General features: G+C 39.2%; 1 protein-coding gene across 1 annotated transcript in view, besides 1 other annotated feature; it reads left to right on the plus strand.

Moving 5' to 3' along the window:
• GNAI3 (G protein subunit alpha i3) overlaps positions 1-27,612 on the plus strand; it is a 51,581-nt gene that overhangs the window by 5,221 nt on the left and 18,748 nt on the right. Inside the window, exons 2-4 of the mRNA NM_006496.4 lie at positions 19,902-19,944; positions 20,061-20,202; positions 25,369-25,526. Coding sequence (NP_006487.1) covers positions 19,902-19,944; positions 20,061-20,202; positions 25,369-25,526 — 343 coding nt within the window. The remainder of the gene's footprint in view (positions 1-19,901; positions 19,945-20,060; positions 20,203-25,368; positions 25,527-27,612) is intronic.
• Positions 10,332-10,941: an enhancer, noted in NCBI's record as "NANOG-H3K27ac hESC enhancer chr1:110106789-110107398 (GRCh37/hg19 assembly coordinates)". NCBI's record gives its function as "activates a minimal SCP1, AML or CMV promoter by ChIP-STARR-seq in naive H9 embryonic stem cells {active_cell/tissue: H9 hESC(naive)}" and the evidence as "EXISTENCE:reporter gene assay evidence [ECO:0000049][PMID:30033119]".

Genomic DNA, 27,612 nt, shown 5'->3' on the forward strand with positions numbered 1-27,612 from the left:
AGTCCTTTATCCCTCACCACCTTCCCACCCTTTCCCCCGAGTCCCCAAAGTCCGTTGTATCATTCTTAGGCCTTTGCATCCTCATAGCTTAGCATCCACTTACAAGTGAGAACGTACGATGTTTGGTTTTCCATTCCTGAGTTACTTCACTTAGAGTAATCGTCTCCAGTTCCATCCAGGTTGCTGCAGATGCCATTATTTCATTCCTTTTTATGGCTGAGTAGTGTTCCATGGGTGTAGAGGGGTGTGTGTGTGTGTGTGTGTGTATATCACATTTTCTTTATCCACTCGTTGATTGATGGGCATTTGGGCTGGTTCCATATTTTTGCCATTGTGAATTGTGCTGCTATAAACATGCGTATGCAAGTATCTTTTTTGTATAATGGCTTCTTTCCTCAGGGTAGATACTCAGGAGTGAGATTGGTGCATCAAATGGTAGATATACTTTTAGTTCTTTAAGGAACCTACACACTGTTTCCCATAGTGGTTGTACTAGTTTACATTCCCACCAACAGCGTGAAGGTGTTCCCTTTTCATCACATCCACACCAACATCTATTTTTTTTTTATTATGGCCATTATTGCAGGAGTAAGGTGGTATCACATTGTAGTTTTGATTTGTAGTTCCTGATAATTAGTGATGTTGAGCATGTTTTCGTAAGTTTGCTGGCCATTTGTATATCTTGTGAGAATTGTCTATTCAAGTCCTTAGCCCACTTTTTGATGGGATTGTTTTTTTCGTGCTGATTTGATTTCCTTGTAGATTCTGGATATTAGTCCTTTGTCAGATGTATAGATTGTGAAGATTTTCTCCCACTCTGGGTTGTCTGTACTCTGCTGATTTCTTTTGTTGCTCAGAAGCTTTTTAGTTTAGTTGAGTCCCATTTATTTATTTTTATTTTTGTCTTTGCATTTGCTTTTGGGTTCTTGGTTGTGAAGTCTTTGCCTAAGCCAATGGCTAGAAGGGTTTTTCCAATGTTATCTTCTAGAATTTTTATGGTTTTGGGTCTTAGATTTAAGTCAGTAGCCCTATACACCAACAGCAACCAAGCTGAGAATCAAATCAAGAACTCAACCTTTTACAGTAGCTGCAAACAAAAAACAAACAAACAAACAATACTTAGGAATATACTTGACCAAGAAGGTGAAACACCTCTACAAGGAAAACTACAAAACACGGCTGACAGAAATCATAGATGATACAAACAAATGGAAACACGTCCCATGCTCATGGATGGGTAGAATCAATATTGTGAAAATGACCATACTGCCAAAAGCATATCTACAAATTCAATGCAATTCCCATTAAAGTACCACCATCATTCTTCACAGAACTAGAAAAAACAATCCTAAAATTCATGTGGACCCAAAAAAGAGCCCGTATAGCCAAAGCAAGACTAAGCAAAAAGAACAAACCTAGAGGCATTAGATTACCTGACTTCGAACTATACTGTAAGGCCATAATCACCAAAACATCATGGTACTGGTGTAAAAACAGGCATATAGACTAATGGAACAGAATAGAGAGCCCAGAAATAAAGCCAAATAACTTCCAGTCAACTAATCTTCGACAAAGAAACAAAAATGTGAAGTGGCGAAAGGACACCCTGTTCCACAAATGGTGCTGGGATAATTGACAAGCCACATGTAGAAGCATTAATCACTTTTGCAGTCTGAAAATACGGCCCTTTTCAGGAATTAAAATAATGTAATTTTCCCTGACTACGCTATTCCTGTAGTACACTGATGGCCATAGAGTAGGGTGCTTAATACTAGATTTCACAGGGCATGTAAGGTTCTAATAAGCGCTGCTACTACGTTTCTTTAAAAAATAATTTTTAGCATACTAAACTTATATGCATTATTACAAAAAAGTCTTTTAGTTTTTAGGCAGTTGTCTCTAATAAAATTGATTCGTAGTCTAGAGATCTTTTAGAGATGGTTAGTAAAACCTGAAGCACTATGCTGTTCCTCCCCCGTGGTGCTGAGCTTCTGCATCCTCTAGCTTGGGAAGGAAAAGGGAGTTGTTAGGCCTCTGCAGATACTTCCTTTTTTCCTATCCTGTCTCTCTTCCTTCCCTGGTTTCTTCTACAGCATACTTTCTCCTGGGGAAAGGAGTGCGTGCGTGCGTGTGTGTGTGTGTGTGTGTGTGTGTGTGTGTGTGTTTGTGTGTGTTTCATCAGGTCCTTCCATTAACTTCCATTCTTTTTCTTTTTTTTTTTTGTTGAGTCTTACTCTGTCGCCCAGGCTGGAGTGCAGTGGTGCAATCTCAATGCAACCTCTGCAACATCACTGCAACCTCTGCCTCCCAGGCTCAAACGATCCTCCCATCTCGGCCTCCTGAGTAGCTTGGACTACAGGCTAATGCCACCACCGTTGGCTAATTTTTTGTAGAGATGGGGTTTTGCCATATTGCCCAGGCTGGCCTTGAACTTCTGGGTTCAATGATTTGCCCACCTCAGCCTCCCAAAATGTTGAGATTATAGACTGAGATTATAGCCTCTAACTTCCATTCTTAAAAGTCGCTCATCTGTAACCAGGAAAAAACAATATAGAGAGACAGATGGCAGGAAAATCAGTAGCTGTGCAAAAATGGAATGTTCAAAACGCGGAAGAAAAAACTGAAACATTGTGAAGAGTCTTTTGGTTCCTTTTTTAGAGGACAATTTTTTACTTGGAATTTTTGAAAAATCTGTTTTCTCTACTTGAGATGGCTTCTCTTTCTGCTTTTCCCCCAGTGTATTAATGAACTATATCCTGCTACTTACCTCAAGTCAGTTTATCCAGTATAGAACTTGCCTTCACTCCTCACCCCCAAATCCACCTGTTGGGAACTTTTCTGTTTCAGTACCAGCATTCTCAACTTCATCTAGGCTGAAAACTGCAGTTGTTTTTAACTCCTCTGTTACTCTCATCTCTTACAACCAGTCAGTTGCGAAGTCCTATGACTCAGTCATTACTAGATTCCAGATTTTTGGACTTTAAGGACCAGAAAAATTTTTAAAAACTTGTTTTTGGTAGACTGACCTAGGATTTTAATATTTTATTTTTCTTAGTAAATACATTTTAAAAATCTCAGACTACTGTCTGTTATGATTACTATTTAGTTCTCTTTCCTCCCGAGACAGTCTCACTCTGTTGCCCAGACTGGAGTGTAGTGGCATGATCTTGGATCACTGCAACCTCTGCCTCCCAGGTTCGAGCAATTCTCATGCCTCAGCCTTCTGCGTAGCTGAGAGTACAGGTGTGCACCACCGTGCCCAGCTATTTTTTGTATTTTTAGTAGAGACGGGGTTTCACCATGTTGGCCAGGCTGGTCTCAAACTTCTGGCCTAAAGTGATCTACCCGCCTCGACCTCCCAAAGGCTGGGATTACAGGTGTGAGTCACCATGCCTCGCCATTGGTGAAACTGTTTTGATGTTCTGAATTGGATATGATATGATCCTCTATTTTTGAAACCTCATAGTACTTTTTATGCCACTTATAGTCTGCCTTATATATGGTTATTTATATACTTACCTGGTCCTAACCATATGGTCTTTTAGGGCAGGAGGACTAAGTATTTCTCATCTTTTTGTCTGTTGCAGGACTTAATAGAATGCTAAAGTGTTTTTGCCCATAAGGAATAGGAACACCACTCATACAAGTCACAAGTAAAAGAGAGGTATATTGAAAGGACAAAGTAGGCAACTTCATAGGTGTTAGACATTCAAGAATAGGTAAGAAATGAAATACAGGTAGGTTGTATGTACATGGACTGTGATACCCAACCCCCACCCTCTCCCCTATTTCTCCTAGAGCAGAATGGCCTCCCCCGAGTCTTCAACTTTTGTTTACTCTGACATCTTCTGTGGCTCACGCACCGCCTGACCCGGTAGTTCAAGTGCTTCATGTTATCTGATGCAGGCTCCCAGGATCCCATTCCCGGTTCCTGGTAAAGAGTATCAGATTGGCCCAGCCTTGTCATCTGCCAACCACAATCCAGTCATGTATGGTTGGGTATAGCAGAGTTGATGGGGTATCATGAGTTTTATAAGGTGACCCTTTCAAGGACTGGAGTAGGTCAAATTCTCTATTAAATGCATGGCCAGAGAGTTAATGTTTAATAAAGAGATGACAGTGCCTGACACCTAGTAGGCACTCACTAAATATAAGTTGAACATAATGGAATGACATGGGAGTATTGAGGAACTAAACATATCACTGCTTTACTTTCTCATTAGTTCATGAGAACGTGCCTGCTCATTCTCAATATTACCATCTTGTATAGTTGGGAGAGAGAACTTAAATTCAGATTTAAAATTAGGCCAGGCATGGTGGCTCATGCTTGTAATCCCAGCACTTTGGGAGGCTGAGGTGGGCAGATCACCTGAGGTCAGGAGTTCCAGACCAGCCTGGCCAACATGGTGAAGCCCCGTCTTTTCTGAAAATACAAAAATTAGCCAGGCGTGGTGGTGCACACCTGTAATCCCAGCTACTTGGGAGGCTGAGGCATGAGAATCGCTTGAACCTGGGAGGCGGACGTTGCAGTCAGCTGAGGTGGAATGACTGCACTCTAGCCTGGGCGACAGAGTGAGACTCTGTCTCAAAAAACAAAAACAAAAACAAAATTTAAAAATAAATTGAAGTAGGGTACAGGATTTTAAAGTCCCATTATCAACACATTCAACTCAGAATAGTTAATGTAACCTGAATTTAATTACCTTTGATTTTAATTTAGGAATGAATTTTTTAAAATGCATATAACCAGCTCAGGGTCTGTGCTTCATCATCACCCTGGCTTTTTTTTTGTGCTAATTTTTCCTCTTACTACTTTTATGAGTACCAGAAAATTATCCAAAGCTAAGAGAAGAAATAAAACACTGTTTTTGCTCCTTATTAATAATTTGCTTCTAAGTTTTTGTTAGAGAGTAGGTAAAAACGTTTGGCAAAGTAGATTGCTCATAGAGTTTAGCTATCCATGCTTTGTTTTTACCTTTAGTTTAGTTTTATGGCAGGGGAATAGGACTTGTTGAAGGGAGTGGGAAAGAAGGGATGCAGGTCTTCATAATAAGGAATGTCGGCCAGGCGCAGTATCTCACACCTGTAATCCCAGCACTTTGGGAGGCCAAGGCAGGCAGATCACTAGGTCAGGAGTTCGAGACCAGCCTGGCCAGCATGGTGAAACTCCATCTCTACTAAAAATACAAAAAATTAGCTGGGCATGGTGGTGCGCACCTGTAATCCCAGCCACTTAGGAGGCTGAGGCGGGAGAATTGCTTGAACCCAGGAGGCAGAGGTTGCAGCGCGCTGAGATTGTGGCACTGCACTCCATCCAGCCTGGGTGACAGAGCGAGACTCTGTCTCAAAAGAAAAAAAAAAGAAAAGAAAAAGAAAAAATGTCTAGAGCAGTCTGCACTAAATTTGTTCACGTTACTGAAGTTCATTTTTAAAATTTGTTTTCTAGCCAATAAAATATAGTAGACTAGCAATAATAAAACACATCTCTTTGAACTGGTAACTCACATCAGAAATAGGAGATACCATGCAATTAATACAGGGCAAAGAGAATGAAAACTGAGAGATTAGTCCTTATCACTGAGCTTCATTTTCCTTTCTTTTTACCACTGAGGGATTTAAATTGAACCTCAGGGGTCCTTTGTCTGTGAACTTAATATTATTAGCCAGATGGAATATTTTAGCAAGTTATAAAGGTAACTATTTTTGTGTTATGTCTCTTATTCTTGAGTTTGATTGAAGTTAGCTTAACATCATAAAGCTGGTTAGAAAGATAGTTAAAAACTGAAGTTAAAAACCTGAAAAACATAAATTCATGAAGTACCCCTAATGTACATGTTCAAAAGAAAATACAAAGAAATCACTCAGTATTTGACTTCCCCTCCAATTTTAATTGTCTTTTGGTATAATTCTTTTTTGGTGTTTAGCAAGTTAAAGTTATCTTTAAGCATTTATCTTGTCCAGGTGATCCTGTTACCGGCTTAGTAATCAGCTGTATCATTTCTGTAATTCAAGCTGTTTGAACTGAATAACATAGTGTTAGGATCACTGTTTAATTGTTCTAGTTTTGATAGATACAATGCTTTATGTAAGTGAAATATCCGATTTTTCATGACTTTCTGTTAAGTTGTGACAAATTCATGTATCTGATGTGAACTAAGCAAAGAAGAAAGATACCTAAAAGACTAAATTTGTTTGACTTATACCTGAATAGTGGTCTAGTGATGTTAGAAACAAGTTTCAGGAAGAGCTAGTCTTCAGATCTGAACTTCCTTTGATTTCCAAGTTAGACTTAGATACCTAAAAGTTTAAGAAAGATTGTTAAGGATTAGCTGAGATGTTACTGTGTTTGTTGATCCATTACTAATTGCTGTTAGGGCTTCTTTTTGTTGCCAAGTCATGTTTTCAGATGGATAAATGTTTTTAATGTTAATACAAAACATCTGTTTCTTGAATAATGTTAGTATTTTATATCTCAAAGAATTCTTATTGCTTACCTTGGAAGTAGATAGTATTCTAAGTCATAATAATGATAATTATTATTTTGCTGCTCAGTATAATAATCTGAATTTTTTCTAGCTGTAGTAGCTGTTGAGTCAGGCTTGCCTTGCCGTGATCAAAACATGCACTCTATATATTTTAATTGTACTGGCTGGGCAAAGTCCTGTAATCCCAGGACTTTGGGAAGTTGAGGCCGGAGGACTAGCCTGGGCAAGATGGCAAGACCTTGTCTCTACAAAAAATTTGACAGAGTGAGATCCTGTCTCTTAAAAAAAATCATTTGAGAAACAGCAAAAGTACTCTGTATTCAGTGCTCTTGTGATCCTCCTGTGTCAGCCTCCTGAGTGGCTGGGACTACAGGCATGCACCACTATGCTAGGCTAATTTAAATTTTTGGTAGACATGAGGTCTCTCTACAGTGCCCAGGGTAGTCTTTAACTCCTGGGCTCAAGTGATCCTCTCAACTCAGCCTCCCAAAGTGTTGGGATTACAGGTGTGAGCCACTGCATCTGACCTGATTCACTGCTCTTAAAGAGCTGATGTGAAAGTGAGTTTTGCCTAGGATCTTGTAAGTTATTGAAGGGTTGTTTCAAAGTGACATATCTTTAACAGAACATTTTCTCCTGTATTTCTTGAAGTTAGAACTTGGGAATCATTAACTTCAAAACAGGGCTTCGTTTGATATAATGATAAAACTATGACCATGACTTATGTAGGTAATGTAGTCCTGAGGTATGTGTTAGGATAGTGCAGTCTTAATTTTGGTTCATTCCAGGGTATTGAAAATAATTTGCTTCTTTTCTTCTTCTGCTTCTAAGAAGAAAAGCATATTTCTTACTCTATTTTTGTTATTATGTTTGTAATTAAAATCCACATTCATGTCCCCAGCAAAAGTTGAAGTAGTTCTTTCAACTTTTTCTAGACTACTCAATGTTTAAAAACTAAGGTTTTAATTTTGGGAAAATTTTAGATTTACAGAAAAGTTGCAGATAGTACAGAGTCCCTATATACTTTACACCTGTTTTTCCTTAATGTTGATATCTTACATAGCTATGGTACCTTTGTAAAACACTCAGGGATTAATATTGGTGCCTTAATGTTAACTAAACTTCACATTTTATTTAGATTTCAGCAGTTTTCCCACTAATTTTCTGCTCCAGGATCCAATCCAGGATACACCATTGCATTTAGTCAAGGCTACTTTTTATTAAGCTTTTTGGTTTTCATTGTTGCACTGTTCAGTGGGAGGCTCATTTATTAACTTAGTTTCTAGCCTGGAGATAGAAATGAGAAATATACAGAATTCTTAAGCAGTTCAAGTAGGGAAGATATGCAAGTAAACTATGGTAATAAAATGTGATTACAGAAGGAATAGCCAATTTTGTAAGGAGGAAGAGAGAGAGAGACATATACGTTAGGGAAGCCCTCCCAGAGGAGGTGACATTTGAAATGGGCTTTGAAAATTAAATAGCAACTTTTTTTTTTAAGTTTCTTCCTTTTAGAATATTTTACTAAGCGAGAAGCTGGGATGAAAGTTAGATAGGAACTCTTAAGGCAGAGGCTGGAGAGAAGCATATCCAGACAAAGGGAATAGTAAGCACAAAGACTCAGAACATGAGTGAGCAAATAGATTTGATTGAAATGAAGGGTTGGTACAGGAAGAGTGTAGAAGGTGAGCCTGAAAAGGTATGCAGAGGATTTGGAGAGTGTTTATGTGAAGTTTTTTGGTAGCTGTATTTTAAGCTGTATTATGTATGTATGTGTATATATGAATATATGTGTGTATATATACATACACAAGATATGTATGCACACGTATGGAGTAGGTTCTGCATCTGGATTTAACCAATGGCAGATCAAAAATACTGGGAAAAATTAAATGACAAAAATAATACAAAAAAAGTATAACTATTTACATAGCATTTACATTTTATTAGGTATTATAAGTAATCTAGAGAGGATTTAAACTGTACAGCAGAATGTGTGTAGGTTATATGAAAATACTACACCATTTTATGTAAGGGACTTGAGCATTGGTGGATTTTGGTATCCTAGGGGGGGTCCTGGAACCAGTCCCCTGCGGATACCAAGGTATGTGTGTGTGTATAAAATTTAGGGGAACTCATCCAGAGACTGCATTGTTCTCCTTCTTATTACCTGCCTTTTTGTTTTTTTTGCCATTCCACCACTAATTCATGCTGTAACAAAAGGTTAAGTAGAAGTAAATACATATGTGAAATCCATACTGTTTTGGGTTTTGGCTGAACAGCTTTGGTGAGCATTTATTATAGTAAAGGAAATTGAAATTGTAGGCATCCTTATCTGGCAACTCAGTTTGTAGTGTTTGCTGTTGGTGAATTTTAAAAGTGTAGTTTGATTTACATTGGATTAAATACACCTGTAGAAACGTGCCCTATGCTGCTATCGATGTTAGAGGGCCCTAGGTAGGGAGGAATATGATTTCAACATTTTAAATCCCAAAATTTTACAATTTTGGGATATAGGTGCTTTGATAAATGATTTAGCATTGCAATTAACTTTGGAGGACATCTGCAGTATAATGAATCATTATTTTTATGGGTTAAAATGAAATATTTGGATTATTTGTGGGTTACAGTTGCTTGTGTCAGTTCTGTTCCCTTTTACTCTAAATAAATATAGTTTTCAGTCATGTCATATATAAATACTACGTAATTTAATGTTAGCATCAAAATGGCTTTTTGCTGCCCTGCTTTCAAATAAGGAGAAGGAAACTTACCAAAGTCCAAAATTAGAACACTGAGACTGGGCACAGTGGCTCATGCCTGTAATCTCAGCACCTTGGGATCACTTGAGCTCAGGAGTTCGAGACTAGCCTGGGCAACGTGGTGAAACTCCGTCTCTACTAAAAATATAAAAATTAGCCGGTGTGGTGATGTGCACCTGTGGTCCCAGTTACTCCAGAGGCTGAGGGGGAAGGATCGCTTGAGCCCTGGGGCGGGGCAGAGGTTGCAGTGAGCTGAGATCATGCCACTGCACTCCAGCCTGGGTGACAGAGCAAGACACTGTCTCAGAAGACAAACAAACAAACAAAAAACGTTGAGGCAGCCAGAGGATGATCCCTGTCCTTGCTCACAAATGACTGCTCCCTTAAGCAATCAAAGGCAAGGAAGGAACTCTACGTACTTCTCCCCCTTTAAATGATAACATTTTGAGGAGAGCTGCTTAGCTGAGTGAGCTGCCTTTTTTTTAAAAAAAACTCAAGCCAACCCTTCCTTAGATGATTTATGAATGTAAAATGCTTGTTAACTTTCTGCTTTATGGTTTATGATGCTTGTAAAATGATAGGATTATTGTCCATGTATGTAATTGGTGAAGGATATGAAACTCAGAACAAACCATATAGTGCCATGTAAGTTATGGACATATTTTAGTTGTTAGGGCTTTTAAAAAACATCTCCCCCTCTGTCATTACATGTTTTACCCTCTGGAAATGTTTAATGAAACAGTAACTGATATTGGGAGGGACACACAGGTTGCTTCAAAGATAAATGGTAATGTTTAATTTTTATGCTGGACAATAGGTACACAGATTTTTTGTTACACATATGCTATAAGTATTCCCTTTTATGTATCCAATATTTATTTAATAAAAAACAACCTAAAGTTTTAAAGGCAAAAAAGGTAATTCTCATGTCCTTAAAGCCTATTCCATTCAGTTTTTGTGTGTTTTTTTTTTTTTTTGGTGGCAAGGAAAAGAAAACTCATTCAAACTAGGACCAAAAGTTGGTGGGTTGATAGGTTATTGTTAGAATATAGAAAGGTGTTTGTGGGAATACAGGAAGAGCTGGAGAATCAGGCCGCAAGAACTGATGCAGCTCTGAGACTGGCCAGACTGTTTTCTCTTTTTTGTCTGTTTCTGCCTCTTGCTGGCTTCACTATTTCTGCCTTTATTTTATTTATTTATTTTTTTTGCTTTCTTACCTTTGCTTGTTCCCGTCTCTTTCTCTGTTTCCTTGGTCCCATCCGTTTGTTTTTTTTTGTTTTTTAAACTGGGTCAACAACCTTTGTTGTAAAACAAAGGTGCCCTTCCCCCATTCATTCTGTTTTCTCACTTACTTGATGTCTCTTTTTTTGTGAGCTCTCTCCTTTAAGTCACTGCATATTTTTCTGTTCTCTTCTCTCCAGACCAACCTTCCTCTGAATCTTTTCCTTTGTGACCTTGTTGTGCATGAAGCTCTATAATGGTAGCCTAGGTTTTTTTCCACATGTATCTCCTAGTGCAGATTCCTCAGATAATCCAGTTGGTCCTGCTCATCTTTTAGAGCTAGGTCACATAGGCCACCAACAGCCTGTGACTAGGTGACTCCTGTGTTAGGTATTTACCCTCGATTCGGTCACAGGAAAGGTTGTGGCCTAGATCGTGTGGGCCATTTCCCACTGAGGTAGCGAAGTAGGGATTTTTATAGAAGAGATTATGGGCAGGCAGATGTTCTGAAATTCTAATATGTCAATTAAGTTTTATCAGAATTTTCTTATGTGCCCTTTAAGCCTTTTTGGTAATCGGTATGTGATTGCTTCCTAGAAGAATCTTTTTCAAAGAAAAACCATTAGCTCTCTTCCAGTTACAACTCACTGCCTTCTTTTATCCTTAAGATATTCATTCATAGCCAGGCGCGGTGGCTCACGCTTGTAATCCTAGCACTTTGGGAGGCCGAGGCTGGTGGATCATGAGGTCAAGAGTTCAAGACCAGCCTGGCCAAGATGGTGAAACCCCGTCTCTACTAAAACTACAAAAAAAATCGACCTGGCGTGGTGGCAGGCACCTGTAATCCCAGCTACTTGGGAGGCTGAGACAGAGAATCACTTGAACCCGGGCAGCAGAAGTTGCAGTGAGCTGAGATTGTGCCACTGGGTGACAGAGTGAGACTCCGTCTCAAAAAAAAAAAAAAAAGATAATTCATTCATAATCTCACTGAACAAATAATAAATGAGTGCTCACTATGTTTTATATACCCTTCTAGGTGTTAGGGATAGAATGAGATGATGAGTGCAGGGGAGATAGGACAAGGGTTTGAGAGTAAGGTTAGAAGGGAGTGAGGCTAGTGAGTGAGTCCAAATTTATTGTCAGTATAGTCATGGGATGAGAGTTGAAGGGCCAAGAGTGGGTGTGAGGCTGAATAAAGATAGCATAGGAATGGAAATCTTCCGTTTCTGTTAACTACCTACGTTGAAGATTCCATCCATTGCATCTGGCATTGTGATTAATGTTATTAAGCAACCACTGAATATTATAGAAACTCAAGCCATTCATTTCACAGATAGTCATTAAGTGCCTAATCTGTCCTAGATTTTGCTCTAGATTGGCGGGGGGTGCACAAAAAGAAATAGCAATTTTGTGCTTTCAAGGATTGGGCTTTGAGCTTAGGGCTAGTGGAGTCCTAAACAGGCACAAACCCGAATAATTACAATAATTTGACCAAGTACTAATGTAACAGTGTATGACATTACCCTGTAAAGCCAGGTTGAGCCTGGTCAGGGTGCCCCTGAGGGAGAATTACATAGATATGGAAGGGTTTTCAGGTTGTGGCAGAAAGGGTTTCATTACTATTTTAATCAAAATCAAGAAAACCAGTTAGCAGCTTATGAGAAGCAAGGAGATTAGGAGCTAGGAATATAGTCAAATAATTTTTTTACAGTAGCCAGAGCTGGCTAGAGATAAAATGAAGTGAGGTGGCTGGGAAGGACAGTTTGGGGGCTAGTTTTGGAAATTAACCTCTTGAACTGATGGTCAAAGGGAATAATCTGTGCCAGCCACCAGGGTGGAAGTGATAACTGTTCAGAAAGAATGAGGAGGGCTTCAGCAAGGAGTTGAAGTCTGAGTTGAATAGGGGTTTTACGGATGCTTATAGCATATGTAGAGGCTTGTCATGTTTAGAGGGATAGTGGGCTGGCTGAAAAACTATTTTGAGATTGTAGGCTAAGGAAACTTAGTAATTTCACAAGAAAAATAGATCTGTAACTTCTCCCACCAGACCGTAAAGTCCATAAACTTATTTGTATTTGAAGTCACCATATTCAGCATTTTCAGGCATGTAGGAGACATGTTTGTTGAAAAAAAATTTTTTTATTTGCTCAGTGATGTTTTTCCTATCTGTTATTCTTCTAGCCTTTTCTTTTATTGAACTAAGAAGCAACTGGTTTTTTAATTAAGTATAGTACCTTGAAAAGCCGTTTGAATGAAATGTCATTCTTTTTTGTTTGTTCGAGATGGAGTTTGCTCTTGTTGCCCAGGCCGGAGTGCAATGGCGCGGTCTTTGCTCACTGCAACCTCCACCTCCTGGATTCAAGCGATTCTCCTGCCTCAGCCTCCTGAATAGCTGGGATTACAGGTGCCCGCCACCATACCTGGCTAATTTTTTGTATTTTTAGTAGAGATGAGGTTTCACTATGTTGGCCAGGCTGGTCTCGAACTCCTGACCTCAGGTGATCCACCCGCCTCGGCCTCCCAAGGTGCTGGGATTACAGGCATGAGCCACCGCACCTGGCCTGAAATGTCATTTATAACCTTACTCTGAATTTTTAGAGTTACATACTTATACCTGTTACTAAAAGGAATCAACCGGGAGCAGTAGGTACTCCTATTGGAAATAGAATGGACTTACTCCTATGATCTTTAGTTGTAGATACTCACAATTCTTTTTTCTTTCCTGTTGTAAATGAAAGGTGAGAATAAGTTAGCAAAAAAATCAATTTTATTTGCTGATCAAGCTTTCAGCCTGCCATGAGGGAGGGGCTGTCTGTGCCTATTCTAGTCATATGTTCCTATATGTCTGATAATGGGGGCCCGTAGAAGAGAGAGTCTTGGTCTAGCACTGACTAAAAGGTTATCTAAAAATAGTGCCATACTGGGACTTGGCTGTCCAGACCTCTGGAAGAGGGACTATACTCTAATTATAATCCTGTTATTAAAAATTTTAAGATTTCTATATAGAAACCAGTATTTAAAAGGAAGAGGAGATGTTTCAGGTACCCCTGGAATAACTGCTATCTCAGGTGGTAGTGGTGCAGAGAGACCTGTGAGGAAGGTTCAAGGAAAAGCTATAGAGGTATAAATGGTTGAAAAGGAGAGGCGATAGTAGACAGGAATATCTGGGGCTGAAAATACATTTAAGGAAGAGAATATTTTTGTTCTTCAGGATAGGGTGAAGAAAACGACTAATGCTCTGATATATTATAGTTTGCTGTAACTTTTAGGTTATAAGTTGCAGTTTAAGTGTGTGAATTCAGATTCTATCTAGGATTTTATTATTATGAAACCACTGCTAAATAGTTACACCATTTTTACTGGAATTTTGAACCAACATCAGTATCCAAGTTGTTATTACTAAATAAAACTTTGCGAGGCCTTAACGTTACTTGGTGATATTCTCAACATTGGAAATGGCATTCATAAATAATAGCTAGCTAACATTTATGGAACATTTACTATGTGCCAGGCACTGTTTTAAGCATTTTTTATTGACCCCCATTCAGATGAGGAAATTCATTGTGCTTGAAGGCACAGAAATAGAAATTCACATAGTATACTCATGTACTTTCTTTGGACTGGCTTTAGTCAAATGAAAGAGAAAAAAGAGAAGGACTCAGGGGATAGTGTTTTTTTTTTTTTTTGAGAATTAGCCATCTGTCAGGGTTAATTTTTAAAATCAGTCTGTATGTGAGCTGAATGAGTTTGCTCATATGTGATAATGGTTTATTTGTTTTAGCAGTTCCAAATTCCAATCACTTGGGGCCTTGTTTAAAAATTATCTTGCAAAGAAATTATCACCATCTCTCACTTTGCATACCCATAATGTAATATATGTTATTGAGGGGTGGAGAGCATATGCTCTGGTACCTGCTCAGAGATCTTTTTAAAAATACAATTAAGAACATGTGTCTGGGTGCAGTGGCTCGCCCCTGTAATACCAGCACTTTGGGAGGTGAGGCGGGAGGATTGCTTGATCTCAGGAGTTTGAGCCCAGCCTGGGCAACATAGTGAGACTTCATCTCTACTAAAAATAAAAAAAAATTAGCCAGGCATGGTGGTGTGCCCCTGTAGTCCCAGCTACTCCCAGCTACTCAGGAGGCTGAGGGAGGAGGATTGCTTGAGCCTGGGAGATTGAGACTACAGTGAGCTGTGATTACGCCACTACGCTCCAGCCTGGGTGACAGAGCAAGACTCTGTCTCAAAACAAAAAACAAACAAACAAAACCCCATGTTTAGGTAAATACAGTGATTCTACATTAGAGTACATATTGTTGAATTTTTTTTTTGGTCTAACAGTGTTGATGATTATGTATCCAAACTGTAGATAAACACAGATGATTTTCTTTTTCTTTTTGCCAGAACAAGGTCTTGCTCTGTGCCCAGGTTTGAGTGCAGTAGCACAGTTGTAACTCACTGCAACCTTGAACTCCTGGGCTCAAGAGATTTTCCCAAGTAGCTGGGATTACAGGTGTGTGCTACCAGGCCCAGCTAATTTTTTGTGTTATTCTTGTTGTTTGTTTTTTTTTGGTAGAGATGAGGTTTGCCTATGTTGCCTAGGCTGGTCTTGAACTCATGGCCTCAAGTGATCCTCCTGCCTTGGCCTCCCAGAGTGATGGGATTATAGGTGTGAACCAACCATTCCCTGTCCCCAGATAGTTTTCTAAATTAATCCTCTCCCTTTATTCTCTGCAGATTGCCTTGCCTCTTTTATTGAGAATGAAACTAACATGGCTTCCTTCCTCCTTTTATTCTCAAAAATCTCCGTGACTTCACCTCTCATCCTTTTCTCCTACTTATATAGGATATCCTTTAAAGGATAAAGCTTCTGTGTTGAACGGATCCTATTGCCTCCTGTTTCTGGGACCTTTCCAACTTTTTCTCCCCTGTGTATCCTAACCCCCTGCATAGTTCCATCCCTTCTGCATACAGAGTCCTCTTCAGTTCCTCCCTTTTGAAGCCATAGCTGCTGTCTTTGCAGTATCCTTTGCATCTTCCCATTCTTTGTATTTCAACTATTACTTCCCTGGTGTATTGAAGATGGGCAACTGAATCTCTCCTTAAACTTGTGATACATTTTTGAAAAAAGATAGATAAAAGATGCAGATAAAATTAGGAAGTTCTGAACACCACATGTGTTGTGGAGTAGGGAGATGGAACATAGGAAGCAGCTTGGGGAAAACGCAACAATGAGATGTTATGAAAAGGGAGCTTACTGCTAGAACAATGGAGCACAGAGAGTTGAGGTAAAAGTGAAGAGCCCAGACCTAATAAGAAAGGGTTATAGAAAGTGTTTCAATAATTTGGAGAATTATTAGATAAACTGATGGTTTTAAAAATAGTGCCCCTGAGATGGAACTGGAAGCTCAGGAGAAGATATTAGTGTGATAATAAAGGGAAAGGCAAACTGACATTTTCTCAGGGAGCCTTGGAAAAATGTGAGAGAGGTAGGGCAACAGAGGGTTTTTTGTTTTTTTTTTTAATCAGCGCATCCATAGGGTAGGATTAATGAGATAGGTAGAAATTGATTCTGAGATTAATGGATTTATTATTTCATTCAAGATAATCTCACATGAATGATGGAAATGTGGTTTTCAATATATAAAAGAATGGTACACATTAATTCATTAATCTCAACTTTTCTTAATTTAGTAGCTCTTGTTACTATGGATAATCTGGGAATTCTGTCTTTTAAGCAATTTAAAATATAACTGGTATGCATTTGTATTTTCTTCCCAGAGTAGAATCATTGGATTTTTTAGATATGAATGAGAGGATTCACCTTTTTATAACAGCATCCTAAGAAAGTCACTATGTGCTATTTGAGTATTAACTATTTAGTACTACCCCTGATTATCGATTATGTAATAAGACAAGATCATATATAAATGTACCTTTTGATTCTGTAAGAATGTAGTTGTCTAGAATTTTTATATTTGGATTTTAATTAACTTTTGGTTAGTAAAGTTGAGAAATATTTAGTAAAGAATCATGGTTACTAAATATTATTCATTGTTTAGTAATATTTATTTGAGTAGATAATTTATGTCATGACCAGTTTAAGGCCCTGGGAATGCAGGGATGAATAAGCCTTCATGGAGCTTATATTTTAGTGGGGAAGATAAGAAATGAGCTAATCTGTCATGTGAAGAAGTGGTAAGTGCTATGAAAAAATATAACACAGAATAAGGGGAGAGACTGTGACGGGGTGGGAGCTATTTAGATAGATTAGTCAGAAAAGGCTGTTCCTGTGAGGAAGAAAATCTTGCAAAACTTATTTCAGGTAACAGTAAACGCAAAGACAGGAAAGACAGAGTCAGGACCTAACTCAGTAAGAACCGGTTTGGTATGTTGGAGGAAAAGCAAGAATGCTGGTCTGACAAGAGCTGTGAGGACAAAGTGGAGAGTAACAAGAGATGAGGGTGAAGAGGTAGGCAGGGGCCAGAGCATATTGCACCATAATGCCCATGGATTTTGAGTATAATTGAAGATCGTGTGACAAGATCTAATTTACATTTTACAAAGTTTATTCCACCTACTGACTGGCAAACTGGCTTTAGAAAAGGCAAGGTCTGAAGCACTGAACTATTTAGGAAGCTTTTGCAGTGATCTAGGCCTATGGTTTCCAATGTTCAGGAACAAACTGTTAAAACTATTATATTAACTATTTATATTGCTTTATTTAAAAAAATTAAGCTTTACTAATATTTAATATACAGATTGGCACTGGCATCCTTGTCTTATCTGCACGTTAGTCACATGTCATTTAACATTTTTGGCTTGAGCAACTGGTGAATGTTGGTGCCATTTACTGGAATGAGAAGACTGAGGGAGGAGCAGGGTTTGTTTTGAGGTGAGAGTGAGTTGGGGAATCAGTATCTCAGTTTTGAGCATTTTAGGTTTGTGAAATCTAAATACCTACTAGAAATCTAATATCAGGTAGATGGTTTAGATATATGAATCTGGAGCCAAGGTTAGAAGCCAAGATTAGAGATCTAAATTTGGAAATCATTAGTATAGAGACAGTATACACCAGCTTTGGAGCCAAACTGTGAATGCAAATTTCAGTTCTGCCACTTACTAACTGTGTAATTATAGGCAAGTTACTTGACATCTGTCTGCATCATTTATCTCATCTGTAAAATGGGGGTAATAATGTCTACCTCATAGGGTTATTGTGAGGATTAAATTAGTTATTACAAACAAAGTGATTAGAACAGTGTGGCCGAGGGTACTCACTAGATGTTAACTGTTAGGATCAGTTTTTGAATAGTGTTTAAGCCATGAGATTAGGGCCGGGTGCGATTGCTCACTTCTGTAATCCCAGCATTTTGGGAGGCCGAGGCAGGTGGATCGCTTGAGCCCAGGAGTTCGAGAGCAGCCTGGCAAACATGGTGAAACCCCGTCTCTACTAAAAATACAAAAATTAGCCAGGTGTGGTGGCGTGTGCCTGTAGTCCCAGCTACTCAGGAGGCTGAGGCAGGAGAATCACTTGAACCTGGGAGGCAGATGTTGCAGTGAGCCAAGATTGCGCCACTGCACTCCAGCCTGGGTGACAGAGCAAGAGTCTGTCTCCAAAAAATAAAGACCATGAGATTAGATAACTTAGAGAATGAGTTTAGATAGGGAAAAGGGCCAAGGAGGGACCCCTGAAGCAATATAACCTTTAGAATTCAGAAACTGGGTTGGGTGCGGTGGCTTTCGCCTGTAATACTAGCACTTTAGGAGGCTGAGGCGGGCAGATCACCTGAGGTCAGGAGTTTGTGACCAGCCTGGCTAATATGGTGAAAAACCCTGTCTCTACTAAAAATACAAAAATCAGCTGGGTGTTGTGGCAGGCGCCTGTAATCTCAGCTACTCAGGAGGCTGAGGCAGGAGAATTGCTTGAACCTGGGAGGCGGAGGTTGCGGTGAGCCGAGATTGTACCATTGCACTCCAGCCTGGGCTACAGAGCGGGACTCCATCTCAAATAATAATAATAATAATAATTCAGAAACTGGAGAGAGGAGATTGAGGAGTGAAGTAGGAATCAAACCTGAAGGGTATGTTGGCTAGAAGCCTGCCTAGTGAAGAAAATATTTCAACTTAGACAAATTCTGCTTGAGAGGCTAAGATGAGCACCAAGAATTGACCAACTGGGTTTGTCAAGATGGAAGTTTTTGGAGACCTTGAGAAGTAGTTTTATTAGAGTGGTGGGGATGAAAGCCTGATTAGCATAGCTGAAGGACAGAATTGGATGTACGAAATTGGAGGCACTGAGTATAGATGGCACATTAGAGGAGTTTTGCTGCAAAGAGGGATAGAGAAAATGGTGTGGTAGCTAGAAGAAAATGTGTGGGGTCAAGGAAAGTTAGGGGTGTGTATGTGTGTTGATTTAAAGATGGAAAATAGTATAGTAAGTTTGCATGCTGATGAGAATGACCCAGTGGAAAGAAAAAACTGATCATATTTGAGATGTGGAAAATATCATGGGAAATTGCAGCAGCCATGACCTTGAGTAGGTAAAATGAAGGTGCATAAGGGGAGAAGTTGATTTTAAAACATTGGCAGAGACTTTTCATCCATTGATGAAGGTAGAGAATATTAATGGAGGTACAGATAGACTGGTAGATGTCGTTGTGGGAAAATGTAGTTTTTTCTGATTGCTTTAATTTTTATGGAAAAGTAGGGTAGGATCATCAGTTGAGAGTCAGAATTGGGAGGGGGTTTATAAAATTTGAGAGAGAGGAGGTGGTGTGATATAGGCATCTTGGAAGATAGGAAAATGAGTTGACTAGGGAAGATCTAGCAGGTGGATTTGTCAAGGAGGTCAGAAGGCTAGCTTGACATTTGTGGTCATTTGTTTAAAGTGATTCCAGCTGGCTAAGGAGGGCAGGGTGGTCTTGAGATGACATATGGTGAGAAATTGATAGGAACAATGCCTTTTCTGCTTCTATTTGAAACATCTTTAGTCCTGTGACTGGTAGTATTGCTCTCAGAACATTTCTGTGGTATAGGCAGGCAGCAACAGAGGAATTAATAAAAATGAATAGACCAAAAAATAATGATTTCATTTTTGCCCATGTTCAGTGTTTATATCATGTTTTATGTAGTGAATGAGTTCCTCCAAAAGTTTATGTTGCCATCTGTCCTTGGATATGCCTATTTTACACAAATGATACCAAGCAAGCCCTAGGACACTTTCAATAAATTATACTTGGTTGCTGAGTTATGTAAAGAAAGCAAAATGCTGTAGTGGAGAAGCTCCATACATTTTCTTGATAGACATGAAAGCCTCACCAAAATTTTCCCTAGGACCCGTGGTTTTCATCAATCTAGAGTTATCATTCATGTTGATATTATACTTTTATGTTGATTACCGAGAAATTCAAAGTCTGGTTTTCTTTTCTTACAGGTGCTGGAGAATCTGGTAAAAGCACCATTGTGAAACAGATGAAGTAAGTTGGAATGTAGCGTTTTGTTAGACTAGGATTTCTCCTAATGCATATAAAGTCCATAGTATCTTTTCATTTTAGGTCCATGGTATTGACTTGTGGTTTTCTTTGTTTTAAAGAATCATTCATGAGGATGGCTATTCAGAGGATGAATGTAAACAATATAAAGTAGTTGTCTACAGCAATACTATACAGTCCATCATTGCAATCATAAGAGCCATGGGACGGCTAAAGATTGACTTTGGGGAAGCTGCCAGGGCAGTAAGTGTTTCTCATTTCCTCTTCACTTGCTCTTATTCAGCAGATACAGTTAAGTTAAGCAAAATTTTTGCTTCATGTTTTAGGGAAATGAATTTAAGCAACAAGATAAAATGTAGCAAAGTACTTTGTGCTCACTTGAGAAATGTTAGCAATCTACTTTAGCAGGTGTTAGATATAACCACCCCAAGAGGAGCCTAGGAAATGGGATTCTGTGGGTGCACGGTAGGTTTCTGGGATAACTGTTCTATTCAATTGCTTTTTTTTTTTTTTTAACAGCACTGTTGACTTTTATAGTAGTAGATAATAGTACATTAAAATAATCTAAGAGAAAGGTTGCCATGATATGTAGCTCTGCTTTCTGAGGTGTACAGATTAAAGGCCAAAATCAGTCTCCCAGAATAAATTCTGTAAGGACATGAGCACTAAGTCCAAATTCTTGAATATCTAAGTCAGATATTCAAGAATACTGTATACTACATGGAACCTAAGGCTATAGAATTGGAGTATAACATGCCCTAGTATAATTCTTTAATGCCTTGCACATGTCAGCTATTTAAAAAGTTGTATTATTATAATAATACTTAGTGGACCCTGAAGATCTAGTTTATAAAATTAGAGCATGTGTAATTAGGATGTTTTATGCCATTGGGGAGGGTGCCAATATGAAGGCAGGAGATCTTTGATATTATTATCAGCTAAAATCCAGAGAAGGCTGGGAAATTATAGAATTATTTCCTACATCTAAGGGACTCACTGGCTGTGTTCAGAGTGTCATACTTATGTGCCATGGCGAAATAAAAGGAAATGATTTGGGAGGTCTGCCTGGAAAGGCAAAACCTATATGTCTATGAAGTTGCTTAGGAACTCTCATAAGCCACTCCCAACTTATCAAATGCGAATTTATATTTGATAAAAAGATAGGAAATTGTTGAGGGGAAATACTGAAAGGGTAGTCACAGTTGGATAGTGTTAGACTAGAAAGTGTCTTAGAAATGGCATAAAGGAAGAGGAGCTGGATTAGGGATTGTGAAATGAGAGACTTGTATCAAAAAATAAGAAAATATGTGAATGTGACTTTTATATTTTTGTGAAATATATCACAGAGACTATTTTTCTATGCATCTGAGCAGGGAAGTTTGGCAGTCAAGCAAAAATAAAGCCTTTATCCTTGTCTTACCCTTTCCTATTCCTTCTCTCACCCCCTGCTTTTGTTTCCTTCTTTTCCTCTTTTTCTTCTTTATACCAGCTCTATCTGTGGTCTTATTTTTTCTTCCTCCCTTTTCTCATTTCTCCCTATCACCTAACTCTACTTCTCTGTTGTATTTGTTGTATCTGGTAACTGGTCAGTAGTACTGTATTTATTCTCTTCCTTCTCTCTGTTGGTTTTTTCTCTGTCTCAGTTATTTATTCTTTTAGTTTGTCCCTTTTCTCTTTCCCTCTTTAATTTTATTCCCCGCCGTCTGTCTTCCTTTATTTATCTCCCTACCCTTTCATTTCTTTTTTTTTTTTTTTTTTTTTTTTTGGAGACGGACTCTCGCCCTGTCGCCCAGGCTGGAATGCAATGGCTGGCTGCAGCCTCTGCCTCCCAGGTTCAAGCGATTCTCCTGTCTCAGCCTCCTGAGTATCTGAGATTACAGGCGCTCACCTCCACGCCCAGCTAATTTTTGTATTTTTAGTAGAGATGGAGTTTCACCATGTTGGCCAGGCTGGTCTCGAACTCCTGACCTTGTGATCCGCCCGCCTCGGCCTCCCAAAGTGCTGGGATTATAGGCGTGAGCCACCGCTCCCGGCCCCATTTCTTTCCATTATCAAATCAATTGTCATTAATCTTTGTATCCTAATACTCTTGTGTCACCAGATGCAGTTGACATCATTAGTCCCTCTCAGGCCTCCTAAATCATCCAGCTTTCTGGTGTCCACACAACCTAGTCTGTAATCCTATATTATAATTTTTAAACATTGCTTTTTATTTTTCCTTCTGTGTGTAAGGTTTTATGTTTATAGCTCCTCTCTTATTGTCTTCTAGTATTTTTGTTTGTTTGTTTTTTGAGGCGGAGTTTTGCTCTTGTCACCCAGGCTGGAGTGTAACGGTACGATTTTGGCTCACTGCAACCTCTGCCTCCTGGATTCAAGTGATTCTCCTACCTCAGCCTCCCAAGGAGCTGGGATTACAGGCGCCTGCCACCACGGCTGACTAATTTTTGTATTTTTAGTAGAGATGGGGTTTCGTCATGTTGGCCAGGTTGGTCTTGAATTCCTGACCTCAGGTGATCCACTTGCCTTGGCCTCCCCAAGTGCTGGGATTACAGGTGTGAGCCACTGTGCCCGGCTTCTACTCTAGTTTTTTATAGTTGGTTAGAGAGTGTGAATGGAAAAAAAATAGAGCTGAGTGTGGAATAGGTTCCTTTTTCACATCTGCTTAAGTGTGGAGGTGTGAAGTTTATTGTAAAGAGGGGCCTCTTCTGTTTTTTTTTTTGTTGTTGTTTTTTGTTTTTTTTGAGACAGAGTTTCACTCTTGTTGCCCAGGCTGGAGTGCAATGGTGTGACCTTGGCTCACCGCAACCTCTGCCTCCTGGGTTCAAGCGATTCTCCTGCCTCAGCCTCCCGAGTAGCTGGGATTATAGGCATGCACCACCATGCCCGCCTAATTTTTTTGTATTTTTAGTAGAGACGGGGGTTTCTCCATGTTGGTCAGGTTGGTCTGGAACTCCTGACTTCAGGTGATCCATCTGCCTTGGCTGCCCAAAGTATTGGGATTACAGGCGTGAGCCACCATGCCCAGCCAAGAGGCACCTCTTTATAGACCTTTAGAGAGGGTTTATTGTGGGGAAGCAAGAGCAGGTCAGTGGAAGAAATTAAGTGATAAGAAAAAAGTGTTTGCTCCTAAAAGAATATTTAAAGAGTCAGGACAGCAAAAAAAGTAGTAATAATTCCCTCTCTTTTGAAGTTTCTAAAATTAGAGTCATGGTTTTTTTCTGTTTTTTTTTTTTTTTAAAGTAGTGCTTAATAAGGTTATTTGAATACGTGCATGGGTATAGGTCAAATTTCAGAACCAGGGGATTATGAAGACTTCACATGTTAGATAAAGCACCATACCTTGCATATGTACAAGGACATGCTCACTGCTGAGTATGTTTGCCAATTTGTCTAATATTTCAACTTTTCTCATTCATTTGTTTAAAATTTTATCTTTGAAAAGAAAGGGAGGGGCATATAGATCTTAGCTAAGGTGTTTTTTTTGTTTTTTTTTTTTTTTTGAGATGGAGTTTTGCTCTGTCGCCCAGGCTAGAGTGCAATGGCACCATCTCAGCTCACTGCAACCTCCGCCTCCTGGGTTCAAGCAATTCTCCTGCCTCAAACTCCCGAGTAGCTGGGACTACAGGCACACGCCACCATGCCCAGCTAATTTTTGTATTTTTAGTGGAGATGGGGTTTCACCATGTTGGCCAGGATGGTCTCAATCTCTTGACCTTGTGATCCACCCGCCTCGGCCTCCCAAAATGCTGGGATTACAAGTGTGAGCCACCATGCCCGACCAGCTAAGGTGTCTTAGAGTTGAGCCTAGTCTACCGCCATGCCACCCTGAATGCGCCTGATCTCAGAAGCTAAATGAGAGTGGGTTGAGCCTAAATATTACTAGAAAGAATACAGGAAAGGATCATAAAGGAGGAAATATTACTAGGTAAAAACCATTAGAGCTGGAGACCCAGAGTTTGGCAAAAATAATTTGAGTGCACCATGGATGGTTTTGTTTTGCTAAGGTGGATGCACAAGTTCTGGTAATTCACAAGTCTTTGGAGTTTTAGGTTGTGAGTTCACCTGTGGTCTGAAATGACTTTTGCTTGTTAGTTTATTTGTCTTGATGACTACTTAAGATACAAATGATTGCTCCCCTTTCTCCTTTACTTTTTCTTTACACGTTATATACTTTTTAAATTTTTTATTTTTATAGTTATTTGGAATCTCTCAAGGTAGATAAATATTAGATGTGGATGGGAAAATCATCCCGTGAGACCTGTGTTTAATTTTAAACCAACAAGTAGGGATGGATAGAATAAAGGAAAACAATAAAAATCTCATAATCCATTTCTGTCCTCTCCCTCACATATTTTATGTTTAAAAACTATAACCACCTAGAAAACTATGGCTATGTCTGGGCCCAGTGGCTCACGCCTGTAATCCCAGCACTTTGGGAGGCTGAGGCGAGTGGATCACCTGAGGTCAGGTGTTCGAGACCAGCCTGGCCAACATGGCGAAACCCCTCTCTACTAAAAATAGAAAAATTAGCTGGGCATGGTGGCAGATGCCTGTAATCCCAGCTACTTGGGAGGCTGAGGCAGGAGAATCGCTAGAACCCAGGAGGCGGAGGTTACAAGGAGCCGAGATCACATCATTGCACTCCAGCCTGAGTGACAAGAGCGAAACTCCGTCTCAAAAAAAAAAAAAAAAAAAAAGAAAAGAAATAAAGAAAACCATGGCTATGACTCATGAAGTTATGGTTACTTTCTTTTCCTCCTGCTCCCTTCCTTTCCCTCTCTCAGAACATTATTATTATTCCTTATTCCTTTAGGGAAATCTAGGGACTGTTTGAATCTTTCCCTGAGGGATTTATTTCCCCCATTAGGCTTCTAGACCTTAAGTGCCTCCATCTCCTCTTCTTGTTCTACTGTCTGGGCTGAAGGCAAAGAAGAGAATACTTTTTTCTTAAACTTGATTAATGTTTTACTCCCTTTGAGGTGTTTAGACTTTACCTCTTATGTGCTAGTCTTTTTATTTCTATTTTTAGTGTAGGCTTCCTTTAATAGAACGGGAATGTTTTACATAATCCTGTCTCATAAACCAGTTTTTTTCTCTCAAAAATTATTAGCAATCTGGATGGAGATTTGTGGGCTGGCCAGAAATGATCTTTTCTGGGGATGGTGGTGTGTGGAGGAGTGGTGGGGAAGTAAAATCATTCCTCAGCTCAGTTCTGGACTTAAAACTGTAGTGAAATGAGAATAAGGAAAGACTTAATTATAAATTCTGTCATGCTGGCCTGTCAGAAAAGGTCTCTGTAACAACACCTCTTTTAACATAACATGTAATGTGTCTATATTTTAAAGAGACTGTCATCAAGTCTTAAAGAAATGGAGAGTCATCTGTCTCTTTCTTAACTGCTTTCTTCAGGATGATGCCCGGCAATTATTTGTTTTAGCTGGCAGTGCTGAAGAAGGAGTCATGACTCCAGAACTAGCAGGAGTGATTAAACGGTTATGGCGAGATGGTGGGGTACAAGCTTGCTTCAGCAGATCCAGGGAATATCAGCTCAATGATTCTGCTTCATAGTAAGTAATTTTTCTCTGTGAAACTATAACAGAGAATAACTTGGTGACACTACAGAAATTTTAGTCCCCACTTAAGGAAATGTTTAAGTAATAGACACTCTTAGACGTTTATAGGATACTTTATAAAAATTGTCTAAGTTTAGGATTATAGAGCCCTTGGTCATTTGTATGATTTGGAGAAAAAAGTTCCCTCTTGGAATGTAAATGGGAGACTTGGCACCACAAAATTAGTTCCATGGCATTTTATTATAAGCAAGTGAAGGAGGAGAGACATCTGTTGTGGCTGGGTTCTGAATCTGTTCCAACTCATAAGTTCCCTCTGTGTAAGGGCTTGGCACTGATAGCCAGCTAGAGAGGGAAATTAGAATAGTGGTATTCCTTTTTATGCAGCCAGCTCTCTGTGTCTGGGCCGCACTATGGACTTCACTAGTAACCCTTTTGCCAGATCACAGTAGTAGACTTTGTATAGAAAGAGAAGGTTGAGTCATGGAATGAAGTTGAAGTATCTTTTTGTCAAGGATATTATCTTGAGTGTTAATATAGTTTTAGAGAATTTGTAATGAATACTTATATTAAGCTATTACATGTTATCCTATTTTACCTCTTTTACATATACTTATTTATGAAACCTAGATTCAGAATGTATTTTTTTTGTTTTGAGACGGAGTCTCGCTCTGTCGCCCAGACTGGAGTGCAGTGGCTCCATCTCCGCTCACTGCAAGCTCCACCTCCCAGGTTCACACCATTCTCCTGCCTCAGCCTCCCAAGTAACTGGGACTACAGGCGCCCGCCACCATGCCCGGCTAATTTGTATTTTTAGTAGAGACGGGGTTTCAACGTGTTAGCCAGGATGGTCTCGATCTCCTGACCTCGTGATCCACCCACCTCTGCCTCCCAAAGTGCTGGGATTACAGGCGTGAGCCACCGTGCCTGGTCCGGAATGTATTTTTTTTTAATGTACTTTTGCGGGGCCTGGTGAGCACTTGTTATCTGTATTTCTCTCTGTACTGGATGAGGGCACGTTTAAGCATTAAAGTTTTTTCTCCAATATTACTGTTTTCCTACTTTTCACGTCATGATTCTAGCTTAAATTGTTACAAGAAGAAATTAAATGATATAGTCAGGCTGTGCATAAGGACAGGGATACTTTCTGAAAAATGCATCATTAGGTGATTTGTCATTGTGTGAACATTGTAGAGTATGCGTACACAGAATTAGATGGTATAGCCTACTACACACCTAAGCTATATGGTATAGCCTGTTGCTCCTAGGCTATGAACCTGTACAGCATGTTATTGTACTAAATACTGTAGGCAATTGTAACATAATGGTAAGTATTTGTGTATCTCAGCATCTCTAAACATATAAAAGGGTAATGCAATGGCTATGATGTCACTGGGGCTAGGAGTGTTTCAGCTCCATTATAATCTTACAGGATCACTAGCATACATTTATACAGTCTGTTGTTGACCAAAACATTGTTATGCAGCACATGACTGTATTTGAAAACTTGCTTATTCTTTCAATGAGAACTTGGCTTTAGAAACGTTTCAGGATTCTTGCCTACCTTTTAATAACATCTTAGTTGCAAGTATTGATAGCTTAAATAATTCTACCAGTGGTCATCAAAGGTAGATTATAATTGCTTTTTTTCATCTTTCATTCAGAAAGCTCTGAATCCTCTAACTACATGTGCTTATAGAGATTTTCATAACTGTTGATCTAAGCTTGCCTCTTTACATTAGTGATAGTATTTGGTTTTATAGATCATTAATGATTCACTTACATTGGTGCCATCTGCTCATCAGTTTTCTAGCCTGGAATCAGCAAAGAATACAGTTTTGAAGCAGTCTTTTAATTATTTCCCTGAACAAATTAATTTTTTTGGAGGTATTTACAATTTGTTTTTGATTTAGATTAAAAAAAAAAACCCCAGACCTCCCCAGCTCTTCTGTTTACTGAAAGAAAACGGAAAATATTCTTACTCACTATAGTTCTCTCAATTTTAGTTAATCAAACACCATTCTCTAATGTCCTGTCAAATGGTTAAACACGCATGACCTATTGAGTTTAATTGTCTGAGGAC

Source organism: Homo sapiens, chromosome 1 (genome assembly GCF_000001405.40).
Source record: "Homo sapiens chromosome 1, GRCh38.p14 Primary Assembly".
Classification (NCBI taxonomy): Eukaryota; Metazoa; Chordata; class Mammalia; order Primates; family Hominidae; genus Homo; species Homo sapiens.